This window comes from Homo sapiens, chromosome 11 (genome assembly GCF_000001405.40).
Source record: "Homo sapiens chromosome 11, GRCh38.p14 Primary Assembly".
Lineage (NCBI taxonomy): Eukaryota > Metazoa > Chordata > Mammalia > Primates > Hominidae > Homo > Homo sapiens.
This window is the reverse complement of record NC_000011.10, coordinates 30,259,961-30,273,348: the sequence shown is the minus strand read 5'-3', so window position 1 is coordinate 30,273,348 and position 13,388 is coordinate 30,259,961. Positions and strand designations below refer to the sequence as shown.

The following is a 13,388-nucleotide window of genomic DNA, read 5'->3' as shown; positions in this document are numbered from 1 at the left end:
AAGCTATGGATTTTTCTCTATGAAAAATAAAGATATAATTATTTCCTCTCCCTACCTTGCTATATATATGTAACCTTTTTATTTCCCATTCTGCCAATACGGTGATGATTTAACTTTGGTTTAATATACTCATTTGCATGTTTTGAATGTATTCCCTAATCACAACTGCACCATGTAGAAAAGTCTGATTACTTTTATTTTGCTACATAATTTTTACATTTGTCTTCTTTTATTTGCTTAATTTTCTATGTACTTATAATTAATCCAACCTCAGACTATCCACCAACTGTCTAGAATGCTTCTGAATGCATTAATTTATATTCAGTTTTCTATTTTGCCTTCCTAAAGATGTTTCTCCTACATCCTTTTAACTTATTCCTAAGGAACTGGATTGGTTCCTTTTCTGCTAGGTATATCTCTGACAACCTGGGACCATCGTTCATAATCATTGTGAGATGCCCTTTACCTCTTCTCTGTGTTGTATAGCCTGTTTCTGATTTTTCTTGTCTTTTCTATTTAATTCTCATAAAAGACAAATTTTATAACAATTTTGCATGTTTAAAAATATTTATTTTTTTCTTCACTTTTAAATAGTAATGTGGCTTGGTAATGAATTCTAGGTTGAAAATCATTTTTGTTTGGAATTCAGAAAGGATTCTATCGGTGTTATCTAGGTTACAGTGTTGAGATTGAGCACAACGATGGGATTTTTGTTTATGTGTGGGTGAGTGGGTAGTGGTGGTGGGGTTCTTCTCTCTACATAGTCTCTCTCTCATTCCTTCCTCTCTCCCTCTCCCTTCCACCTGCATCTTTTAATTTAGGAGCTTTCCTTAGATGTGTATAATCTGTGACTTTTTGTTCGATTTTAAGAAGGGGAATTAAAAAGCTAATTAAAAATATAGGAACATGATGAACATGATGTAGCTTGTCAACTGAGAGCTCCCTTGCAGGTTGCTCTAACTAGGCCTTTTGAATGAGGAAATGCTGATGTTTATATCCTCTAGGGCTGGGGAGATTCTGCAAATAAAAATTTTCTGTCTCCTTCTTGGAAGGTGAAGTCTAGCTGATAGCCTCGGTGAGCCCAGTGGGATAGAGATCTTTATTTTTAGTAAGGTGTCTTTTGAGGATAATTGTTCTCAGTGACTTCCGTCAAGAAGGGAGGTACCTCTATTTTACCTTTCTCAAGGATTAAAAGAAAAAAGAAAAAGAAAAAGAAAACAAAAAAGGTATTTTGTTGGAGCAGAGCATTGCTAGTTTCCTGGCTATAGAGAGTAGGTTGGGATCTAGGACTTACTATAATTCCCTTTTTGAAGCCTTTCCCCCTTTACACTCATTTTCATGATAACAGATACTACCAATTTCTGAGTCTTTTGGGGACCTGGAGTGTATGGCTACCAGCTAAGGATTCAGTTTTCTTATATCTGCTATATTATTTATTTTTCTTCTGCTTTATATCTCCTCCAAATTTATTTTTGTTTCCTTATGTTTTTTTATTTTTTTTTTGTGGATTTGGTCCTTTAAAAACATCTCTCCACTATTTTAGTAGATTTTGAATGGGTAGTGAAAGTAAACATGTGTATTCATTTTTCCATCTTTACCTAGAAATCCAAAAAATGCCAAGAAACTCTTTTGTGATGCTGTTATGCTTTTGATTCCATTTATTTAGCTACTTTCTCTTGTGGCATCCTTTACTGAGATGAAGAATCACTAGCTAGAATACACTCGTCAAGGGCAGATCACCTGAGGTCAGGGGTTCAAGGCCAGCCTGGCCAAAATGGTGAAACCCTATCTCTACGAAAAATTTAAACAAATAGCTGGGTGTGGTGGTGGGTGCCCGTAATCCCAGCTACTTAGGAGACTGAGGCAGGAGAATTGCTTGAACCCGCGAGGCAGAGGTTGCAGTGAGTCGAGATCAAGCCATTGCACTCCAGCCTGGGTGACAAGAGCGAGGCTCTGCCTCAAAAAAAAAAAAAAAAAAGAATACACTTGTCTAATGGACTGGAACAGCCATGTTTTATTTTTGTCTCTGCCATCAGTTGGCTTTGTGACTGGAGTGAAATCCCTTAAACTCTTTTCCTTAGTCTATGTCTCTATAAAATAGAAATAATACATTATGCTCACAGGTTATTATGATGATAAAATCAGATAACACGGCAGTGTATTGTAAAAGGGCTTTAATGTGCTCCATAAATGCAACCTAATTCAAATGTGAAGACACCTTAGTGCTCTTTATAGTATAAACCATGCCAATTTATAAACCTTTTTCCCCACAGATTCTTTTTTTTAGTGCCTGATTATTTTTGTTGCTCTTCCCTGAAACATCTCTTTCTTTTCCAAGAGCAGCCTACTGCTCTGCCCTATGCCAAGAGGAATGAAGTGATTATGCTCAGCTCTTTCATGTCAAACTTCTGCCAACACCTCTCATGGCATTTCTTCACTACAACATAAACAATGAGGGAATAAATTCATCTTTAGTTCATTATGTCTTCTCTGTTTTCTCTGCCTTTGAGTATTCCATCTGGTTATCCTAGTTGAGGGATTTTTCCTTGTGCCATCACCAAAGTTGCAAACCAAATGATAGTGTGACAGTGCCTATCAGCAGCTTGTTCCAACTGCCAAACAGTGGAATATACTTGCTTTACTAGCTGAAGAAAAAATACTGACAAAAAAGGCCTGGATTCAGTGACCTATGCCAAAAATAGTTAGGAGCAGAAAAAAACAATGAATCACTTGTGATTCCCAGCAGGTAGCAAAGAATTCCAAAACAGCTGTTCTTCTCCTAAACTTTCTCTGAACGATTGTCTCATGATTCTACAGCATCAATTCCTGAAATGTATGTGCCAGAGACATGATTCTTCTGCACCTTTGCTAAGATGTTTCTCTTGAGGCATTTGATGGTTGGGGGCTATAGTTTTTGCAATATAGAAAGAAAATGAGATGGATTTTGACTTCTGGGTTTGGCAGAATAATTGAGACTAGCCTAGCCCTCCAACTTTAAACAACTAGATGGATAAAATATATGGAACATTATATTTTTGAACTTTGGGTAATAGACATTCCAGAACTCTCATCCCTTAGAAGGGAAACAAATAGGGTGAGTCCTAAAATCACTTTGGTTTTCTGCCAGAGAAACATCATTTTCTGCCAGGATGAACACTGATTTGAGAACACAGAGATCACAGTGTGAAGAAATGGGGCAGCTAGGATTTGCAGGATGGACTACAGGAGAGGAAAGAGCTAGTCAGAGAAAGAACTCCAGAAATCTGCATATCGGTGGGTTCCCTTGAGTCTGATGCTAAATACAAATCCACAGATTGACACAGTGGAAACCAAAGAGGCTGGGAAAGATAATTGGGTAATATGCTGAGAAAGTTCTCATTACTTACACAGGGCTGAAAGATGTTCAAATCTTGACTGGCCAGAGCAGAGAGTCCTCATTTAACATCGAGGACATTGCTGTAGACCCTTCAGAAAGGTCATACTTTAGAAGTATGGCCAAACTAGTTCTATCGTAAAGGCTACTCAAGACCTTCCACAACAAACTGAAAAAGAAGCTTTGAAAAGATCAAAATTATTGGCAAATAAATTAACCACTTGTCAGAACCAGGTCCAACACTGTTTAAAGGCTGAAACAAAATCCAGTGTTCCAAAATGTAAAATTAGTAATGGCCAACATCCAGTAAAATATACTAAAATGGTACAAAACTTTTAAACAGCTATTATTAATAATGTTTAAAGATATAATGAAATACATGAAAATAACAAGAGAATTATAAACTATTAAAAAACTCGCAGCAGAAAAATGCAATATCTGTAATATTTATTATTTGGAAAATTAGGGCAAAATGAAGATTTTTTAAATAGATAAACAGAAGATTTGTCACCAGACACTATAAAATTTATAGTGTCACCAGACACTATAAAATTTAATATTGAGGGAAAACACTATCAGATGAAAATTTGTATGTATATAAAATGAATGAAGACTGCTAGAAGTGGTAAATAAGAGAGTAGAGATCAAATTTTTTTCTAATTTAAGTTTTGTTAAAAGATAACTGTTAGGGGGAGGAGCCAAGATGGCCGAATAGGAACAGCTCCGGTCTACAGTTCCCAGCGTGAGCGACACAGAAGATGGGTGATTTCTGCATTTCCAACTGAGGTACCAGGTTCATCTCACTAGGGAGTGCCAGACAGTAGGTGCAGGACAGTGGGTGCAGCACACCGTGCGAGAGCCGAAGCAGGGCGAGGCATCACCTCACCTGGGAAGCGCAAGGGGTCAGGGAATTCCCTTTCCTAGTCAAAGCGGTGACAGATGGCACCTGGAAAATCAGGTCACTCCCACCCTAATACTGTGCTTTTCCAATGGGCTTAAAAAATGGCACACCAGAAGTTTATATCCCACACCTGGCTCAGAGGGTCCTATGCCCACGGAGTCTCGCTCATTGCTAGCACAGCAGTCCGAGATCAAACCGCAAGGCGGCAGTGAGGCTGGGGGAGGGGCGCCCGCCATTGCCCAGTTAGTTGTTTGATTAGGTAAACAAAGCGGCCAGGAAGCTCCAACTAGGTGGAGCCCACCGCAACTCAAGGAGGCCTGCCTGCCTCTGTAGGCTCCACCTCTGGGGACAGGGCACAGACAAACAAAAAGAGAGCAGTAACCTCTGCAGACTTAAATGTCCCTCTCTGACAGCTTTGAAGAGAGTAGTGGTACTCCCAGCACGCAGCTCGAGATCTGAGAATGGGCAGACTGCCTCCTCAAGTGGGTCGCTGACCCCCGAGTAGCCTAACTGGGAGGCATTCCCCAGTGGGAGCGGACTGACACCTCACACGGCCGGGTACTTTTCTGAGACAAAACTTCCAGAGGAACGATCAGGCAGCAGCATCTGCGGTTCACCAATATCCGCTGTTCTGCAGCCACTGCTGCTGATACCCAGGCAAACAGGTTCTGGAGTGGACCTCTAGCAAACTCCAAATGACCTGCAGCTGAGGGTCCTGTCTGTTAGAAGGAAAACTAACAAACAGAAAGGACATCCACACCAAAAACCCGTCTGTACATCACCATCATGAAAGACCAAAGGCAGATAAAACCACAAAGATGAGAAAAAAACAGCAGAAAAACTGGAAACTCTAAATATCAGAGCGCCTCTCCTCCTCCAAAGGAATGCAGCTCCTCACCAGCAATGGAACAAAGCTGGACGGAGAATGACTTTGACGAGTTGAGAGAAGAAGGCTTCAGACGATCAAACTACTCCGAGCTACAGGAGGAAATTCGAACCAATGGCAAAGAAGTAAAAAGCTTTGAAAAAAAATTAGACAAATGGATAAGTAGGATAACCAATGCAGAGAAGTCCTTAAAGGACCTGATGGAGCTGAAAACCAAGGCATGAGAGCTACGTGACGAATGCAGAAGCCTTAGTAGCCGAGGAGATCAACTGGAAGAAAGTGTATCAGTGATGGAAGATGAAATGAATGAAATGAAGCGAGAAGAGAAATTTAGAGAAAAAAGAATAAAAAGAAATGAACAAAGCCTCCAAGAAATATGGGACTATGTGAAAAGACCAAATCTACGTCTGATTGGTGTACCTGAAAGTGACGGGGAGAATGGAACCAAGTTGGAAAACACTCTGCAGGATATTATCCAGGAGAACTTCCCCAATCTAGAAAGGCAGGCCAACATTCAAATTCAGGAAATACAGAGAACTCCACAAAGATACTCCTCAAGAAGAGCAAGTCCAAGACACATAATTGTCAGATTCACCAAAGTTGAAATGAAGGAAAAAATGTTAAGGGCAGCCAGAGAGGAAGGTCAGGTTACCCACAAAGGGAAGCCCATCAGACTAACAGCTGATCTCTCGGCAGAAACTCTGCAAGCCAGAAGAGAGTGGGGACCAATATTCAACATTCTTTAAGAAAAGAATTTTCAACCCAGAATCTCACATCCAGCCAAACTAAGCTTCATAAGTGAAGGAGAAATAAAATACTTTACAGACAAGCAAATGCTGAGAGATTTTGTCACCACCAGGCCTGCCCTAAAAGAGCTCCTGAAGGAAGCACTAAACATGGAAAGGAACAACTGGTACCAGCCACTGCAAAAACATGCCAAATTGTAAAGACCATAAAGGCTAGGAAGAAACTGCATCAACTATCAAGCAAAATAACCAGCTAACATCATAATGACAGGATCAAATTCACACATAACAATATTAACTTTAAATGTAAATGGGCTAAATGCTCCAATTAAAAGACACAGACTGGCAAATTGGATAAAGAGTCAAGACCCATCAGTGTGCTGTATTCAGGAAACCCATCTCACGTGCAGAGACACACATAGGCTCAAAATAAAGGGATGGAGGAAGATCTACCAAGCAAATGGAAAACAAAAAAATGTAGGGGTTGCAATCCTAGTCTCTGATAAAACAGACTTTAAACCAACAAAGATTAAAAGAGATAAAGAAGGCCATTATATAATGGTAAAGGGATCAATTCAAAAGGAAGAGCTAACTATCCTAAAGATATATGCACCCAATGCAGGAGCACCCAGATTCATAAAGCAAGTCCTGAGTGACCTACAAAGAGACTTAGACTCCCACACAATAATAATGGGAGACTTTACACCCCACTGTCAACATTAGACAGATCAACGAGACAGAAAGTTAACAAGGATACCCAGGAATTGAACTCAGCTCTGCACCAAATTGACCTAAGAGACATCTATAGAACTCTCCACCCCAAATCAACAGAATATACATTCTTTTCAGCACCACACCACACCTACTCCAAAATTGACCACATAGTTGGAAGTAAAGCTCTCCTCAGCAAATGTAAAAGAACAGAAATTATAACAAACTGTCTCTCAGACCACAGTGCAATCAAATTAGAACTCAGGATTAAGAAACTAACTCAAAACCGCTCAACTACATGGAAACTGAACAACCTGCTCCTGAATGACTACTGGGTAAATAATGAAATGAAGGCAGAAATAAAGATGTTCTTTGAAACCAATGAGAACAAAGACACAACATACCAGAATCTCTGGGACACATTCAAAGCAGTGTGTAGAGGGAAATTTATAGCACTAAATGCCCACAAGAGAAGGCAGGAAAGATCTAAAATTGACACCTTAACATCACAATTAAAAGAGCTACAAAAGCAAGAGCAAACACATTCAAAAGCTAGCAGAAGGCAAGAATTAACTAAGATCAGAGCAGAACTGAAGGAAATAGAGACACAAAAAACCCTTCAAAAAATTAATGAATCCAGGAGCTGGTTTTTTGAAAAGATCAACAAAATTGATAGACTGCTAGCAAGACTAATAAAGAAGACAGAAGAATCAAATAGACGCAATGAAAAATGATAAAGGGGATATCACCACCAATCCCACAGAAATACAAACTACCATCAGAGAATACTATAAACACCTGTATGCAAACAAACTAGAAAATCTAGAAGAAATGGATAAATTCCTCAACACATACATCCTCCCAAGACTAAACCGGGAAGAAGTTGAATCTCTGAATAGACCAATAACAGGCTCTGAAATTGAGGCAATAATCAATAGCTTACCAACCAAAAAAAGTCCAGGACCAGATGGATTCACAGCCGAATTCTACCAGAGGTACAAAGAGGAGCTGGTACCATTCCTTCTGAAACTATTCCAATCAACAGAAAAAGAGGGAATCCTCCCTAAGTCATTTTATGAGGCCAGCATCATCCTAATACCAAAACCTGGCAGAGACACAACCAAAAAAGAGAATTTTAGACCAATATCCTTGATGAACATTAATGCAAAAATCCTCAATAAAATACTGGCAAACAGAATCCAGCAGCCCATCAAAAAGCTTATCCATCATGATCAAATGGGCTTCATCTCTGGGATGCAAGGCTGGTTCAACATACACAAATCAATAAATGTAATCCATCATATAAACAGAACCAAAGACAAAAACCACATGATTATCTCAATAGATGCAGAAAAGGCCTTTGACAAAATTCAACAACCTTCATCCTAGAAACTCTCAATAAATTAGGTATTGATGGGACGTATCTCAAAATAATAAGCTATCTGTGACAAACCCACAGCCAATATCATACTGAATGTGCAAAAACTGGAAGCATTCCCTTTGAAAACTGGCACAAGACAGAGATGCCCTCTCTCACCACTCCTATTCAACATAGTGTTGGAAGTTCTGGCCAGGGCAATCAGGCAGGAGAAGGAAATAAAGGGTATTCAATTAGGAAAAGAAGAAGTCAAATTGTTCCTGTTTGCAGATGACATGATTGTATATCTAGAAAACCCCATCGTCTCAGCCCAAAATCTCCTCAAGCTGATAAGCAACTTCAGCAAAGTCTCAGGATACAAAATCAATGTACAAAAATCACAAGCATTCTTATACATCAATAACAGACAAACAGAGAGCCAAATAATGAGTGAACTCCCATTCACAATTGCTTCAAAGAGAATAACATACCTAGGAATCCAACAAACAAGGGATGTGAAGGACCTCTTCAAGGAGAACTACAAACCACTGCTCAGTGAAATAAAAGAGGATACAAACAAATGGAAGAGCATTCCATGCTCATGGATAGGAAAAATCAATATTGTGAAAACAGCCATACTGCCCAAGGTAATTTATAGATTCAATGCCATCCCCATCAAGCTGCCAATGACTTTCTTCACAGAGTTGGAAAAAAATACTTTAAAGTTCATATGGAACCAAAAAAAGAGCCCGCATTGCCAAGTCAATCCTAAGCCAAAAGAACAAAGCTGGAGGCATCACACTACCTGACTTCAAACTATACTACAAGGCTACAGTAACCAAAACAGCATGGTACTGGTACCAAAATAGAGATATAGACCAATGGAACAGAACAGATCCCTCAGAAATAATGCCGCTTATCTACAACTATCTGATCTTTGACAAACCTGACAAAAACAAGCAATGGGGAAAGGATTCCCTATTTAATAAATGGTGCTGGGAAAACTGACTAGCCATATGTAGAAAGCTGAAACTGGATCCCTTCCTTACACCTTATACAAAAATTAATTCAAGATGGATTAGAGACTTAAATGTTAGACCTAAAACCATAAAAACCCTAGAAGAAAACCTAGGCAATAGCATTCAGGACATAGGCATGGGCAAGGACTTCATATCTAAAACAACAAAAGCAATGGCAAGAAAATCCAAAATTGACAAATGGGATCTAACTAAACTAAAGAGCTTCTGCACAGCAAAAGAAACTACCATCAGAGTGAACAGGCAACCTACAGAATGGGAGAAAATTTTTGCAACCTACTCATCTGACAAAGGGCTAATATCCAGAATCTATAGTGAACTCAAACAAATTTACAAGAAAAAAACAAACAACCCCATCAAAAAGTGGGTGAAGGATATGAACAGACACTTCTCAAAAGAAGACATTTATGCAGCCAACAGACACATGAAAAAATGTTCGTCATCACTGGCCATCAGAGAAATGCAAATCAAAACCACAATGAGATACCATCTCACACCAGTTAGAATGGCAATCATTAAAAAGTCAGGAAACAACAGGTGCTGGAGAGGATGTGGAGAAATAGGAACACTTTTACACTGTTGGTGGGACTGTAAACTAGTTCAACCATTGTGGAAGTTAGTGTGGTGATTCCTCAGGGATCTAGAACTAGAAATACCATTTGACCCAGCCATCCCATTACTGGGTATACACCCAAAAGATTATAAATCATGCTGCTATGAAGACGCATGCACACGTATGTTTATTGCGGCACTATTCACAATAGCAAAGACTTGGAATCAACCCAAATGTCCAACAATGATAGACTGGATTAAGAAAATGTGGCACATATACACCATGGAATACTATGCGGCCATAAAAAATGATGAGCTCATGTCCTTTGAAGGGACATGGATGAAACTGGAAACCATCATTCTCAGCAAACTATCGCAAGGACAGAAAACCAAACACCGCATGTTCTCACTCGTAGGTGGGAACTGAACAATGAGAACACATGGACACAGGAAGGGGAACATTACACACTGGGGCCTGTTGTGGGGTGGGGGGAGGGGGGAGGGATAGCATTAGGAGATATACCTAATGCTAAATGACGAGTTAATGGGTGCAGCACATCAACATGGCACATGTATACATATATAACAAACCTGCACAATGTGCACATGTACCCTAAAACTTAAAGTATAATAATAATAAAATTAAAAAAAGATAACTGTGAAAGACAAATTATAAATTTTTTGTCAGTTTTATGATGTAAATAAAAGTAAAATGTATGAAAGCAAGGATAGCAGGTTGATATGAAAGTATACCATTGTAAAATTTTTATAAATAAAATAATAGTATTTAAGGTAGACTGTGTTAATTTAAGATGTATATTATAAACTCTAGCACAATCTCTAAAACAATACAAAGATGTATAGTCAGTAAATGCAATAGGGGACATAAAATGAAACCCAAAATGTAATCAATAAATTCTGAATGACAAGAGAAGGAGGGGGGGCCCTGAAAACAAATTTCAAGGGAAATTAGGAAATTATATGAATGGGATTAAAAATAAAGACACAGCATAGTGAAATTTGCGAAATGCAGCTAAAGTTGTGTTTAGAGGGAAATTTTTAGCTTTAGTTGCTTACATTAGAAAAGAAAGGAGGTTTCATTGATAATCTAAACTTCCACCTTAAGAAGCTGCAAAAAGAGTGAATTAGACCCAAAGTAAGTAAAGGGAAGAAAATTGTAAAAACAAGAATAGAAAACGATAAAATACAAAATGAAAAAAACAATACAGAAGAATCAGTGGTACCAAAAGCTAGTCTTTTGGAAAATAACAAAATCTATGGCCATCTGGCTAGACTGCTCAGAAAAAAAAAGATACCAATTATCAATTACCAGATACTAAAATATGAAAATAACAACAAGGTAATATTAGGAACAACTTTGAGCTCATAAAATTAACAAACTGATGCATTTTATTTTATGTAAATTATGCCTCAGTAAAGATGATTTTATAAAGAAAATAAACAAGTAATTTTAATTGCTGTGTTCACTGAGATCCTATCTAGGTATTTGTCATAGATCATCTCATTAATTTCACAAATCATGGTATAACTTAGTGGTTTGGAGTATATACTCTATATACCAAGACTACCTGTCTTTGAATCATGGTTCTGTCACCTAGTAAGTGTATGACCAGGAAAGTTATTTAACCACTAGAATGTAAACTGTACATTGGTAGGGAACTTCTGTTTTATTCATCTAGAAGAGTTCCTGGCACATGGTATGCATCCAGTAAACATTCGTTGTTAAACTCCAGTTGACAGATGGGAAAATTGTGGCAAAAAAGAGATTTAGTGACTTTCAAAGCTTGCCAGGAAGAAAAAAGCTCAAGATTGAACTCATATCTCTCAGATCCCAGGACTAGTGTTTTTTTTCTTCTGTTGATATGACAGACAAATGAGAAATAGTAAAAGGTTGCCCAATAGGTAACTATGCATTTTCTATTTACTTATAAGAAATGAAAATTATGTATATTTCTTTTTATTATCAAATTAATTCTTGGAATGGTTACCTCTCTCATTTTTAATAAAACTGTTATTGCAGGAGAAAAATAAAGCAGGCATCATTTTTTTCAATACTTCTATTAGATGCTGCTGCTGAAATTGTACAGTAAGAGCTCAGAATGTAAGCACTGACTGCACCAGAGTTTTTCTAAGGCAAATAAACAAAACCCAAGTTAAGAGTTTTGATTTCTTGAAAAGCATGCTCTTTTGACTCATATTACACTCATCTAATATAGGCCATCAGAGTAGTATGTTATTAAATCCTATTCAAATCCATTTTAAAATGTGAAACATATGCTCAGTAGCTGGCTTGGCTTTGAATAAGGGATGAAATTGAAGAAATAAGATTAACCTGTATGTGTCAGACATTTTGCTGTTATTTCTAATTTTAATCTTCACAAGTGTGAAGACTTTACAATGCATAACCACAAATCTCATTTTAACCAAATTGCATAGAGTGCAATTGTGTAGAGTTATAAGGCTAGTAAATAATACATCTGGGATTTTAAGATCATAAACCATAATCATGATGTGCCTTGTGTGTTTTGGTTGTTTTTTTTTTCTTTCTAATAAGATAACTCAATTGAAGCCTGACTCACCAGGAATAAATTAAAACCCATGAATATCCTCAATTATATTTCTTCAGCTCTTAGTTTCTTCATGTTACAAATGTTTTCTTAAACTTTATTGTAGAAAATTTCAAATATGTTAAAGTGAGAGGCTAGTACAGCATACTCCCATACAGCCATCTCTCAGTTCCAGCAATTATCAACTTGTGGTCAACATTGTTTTACCACAACTACTATACTTGTGCCTACTCTCTCACACCTCCAGTAATCATTTCATTTTTAAGACTTTTCGTATGGATTTCTAAAAGATAGGGAAACAGTTTTAAAAAATCAAAATTATATCATTATCAAACCTAGATGAAAAGAAATAAATTGATACATACTTAAATGTATAGAATATACCTCATAACTTATATGAAAATGTGCTAAATGTATAATATAAATATTAAAGTTAATACTATAAATTTTAGAAAAAAACTGTCGGAAAAGTATTTGTGATCTTGGGCTAGATAACAATTTTTTAGAGAAGGCACAAAAAACATAAACCATGAAAGACAAAATGACAATATGGTCTCCATAAAAATTAAAAATGTATTTTTCAAAAGACAGTGTTAACTATAGGAAAAAAAGCTATAGGCAGAAGGCAATATTTTCAAAATTTTTATCTGATAAAGAAGTTATATCGGAATATAGAAACGACTTTTACAACTCAATAATAAAACAACTCAGTTAAAAATGGGCTAAGATTTTGATAGATATTTCACAAAAGATACACAAATGGCAAATAAGCATATGAAAAACAGGCTGAACATCATTAGTCATCAGCAGTAAGATGCCATTGCACAACCAATAGACAACTACGATGAAAGAGGCTGCAGTAACAAGGATTGGTGAGGATGAGGGGTAACTGGAACCCTTGAACATTGCTGTAGGGAATGTAAAATAGTACAGCAACTTGAGAAAACAGTTTACCTGTTTCTTATCAATTTAAACATACTCTAACATACTTCCTAGCAATTCTTCTCCTAGGCATTCACTCATCCATATAAACTTATTTTTACATGATCACCTCTTTAAAGACCTATCTCCAAACACAGTCACATTCTGAGGTAACTAGGAAATAGACTTCACCATATGCATTTGCAGGGAGCGGGCATAATTCAGCTGATCCATACACTTTCATGCTTTTCTAGGGTCCTCTGCCATGTAGTGCTGCAGAGCATTCAAAATACTACTTCTCTTTTTAAAATTAATG

The 13,388-nt window shown here is 37.4% G+C and overlaps 1 long non-coding RNA gene across 7 annotated transcripts in view, besides 1 other annotated feature; it reads left to right on the top strand.

Moving 5' to 3' along the window:
* ARL14EP-DT (ARL14EP divergent transcript) overlaps positions 1–13,388 on the top strand; it is a 279,977-nt gene that overhangs the window by 49,598 nt on the left and 216,991 nt on the right. The window lies entirely within an intron of this gene.
* Positions 4,480–4,980: an enhancer, noted in NCBI's record as "H3K4me1 hESC enhancer chr11:30289916-30290416 (GRCh37/hg19 assembly coordinates)". NCBI's record gives its function as "activates a minimal SCP1, AML or CMV promoter by ChIP-STARR-seq in primed H9 embryonic stem cells {active_cell/tissue: H9 hESC(primed)}" and the evidence as "EXISTENCE:reporter gene assay evidence [ECO:0000049][PMID:30033119]".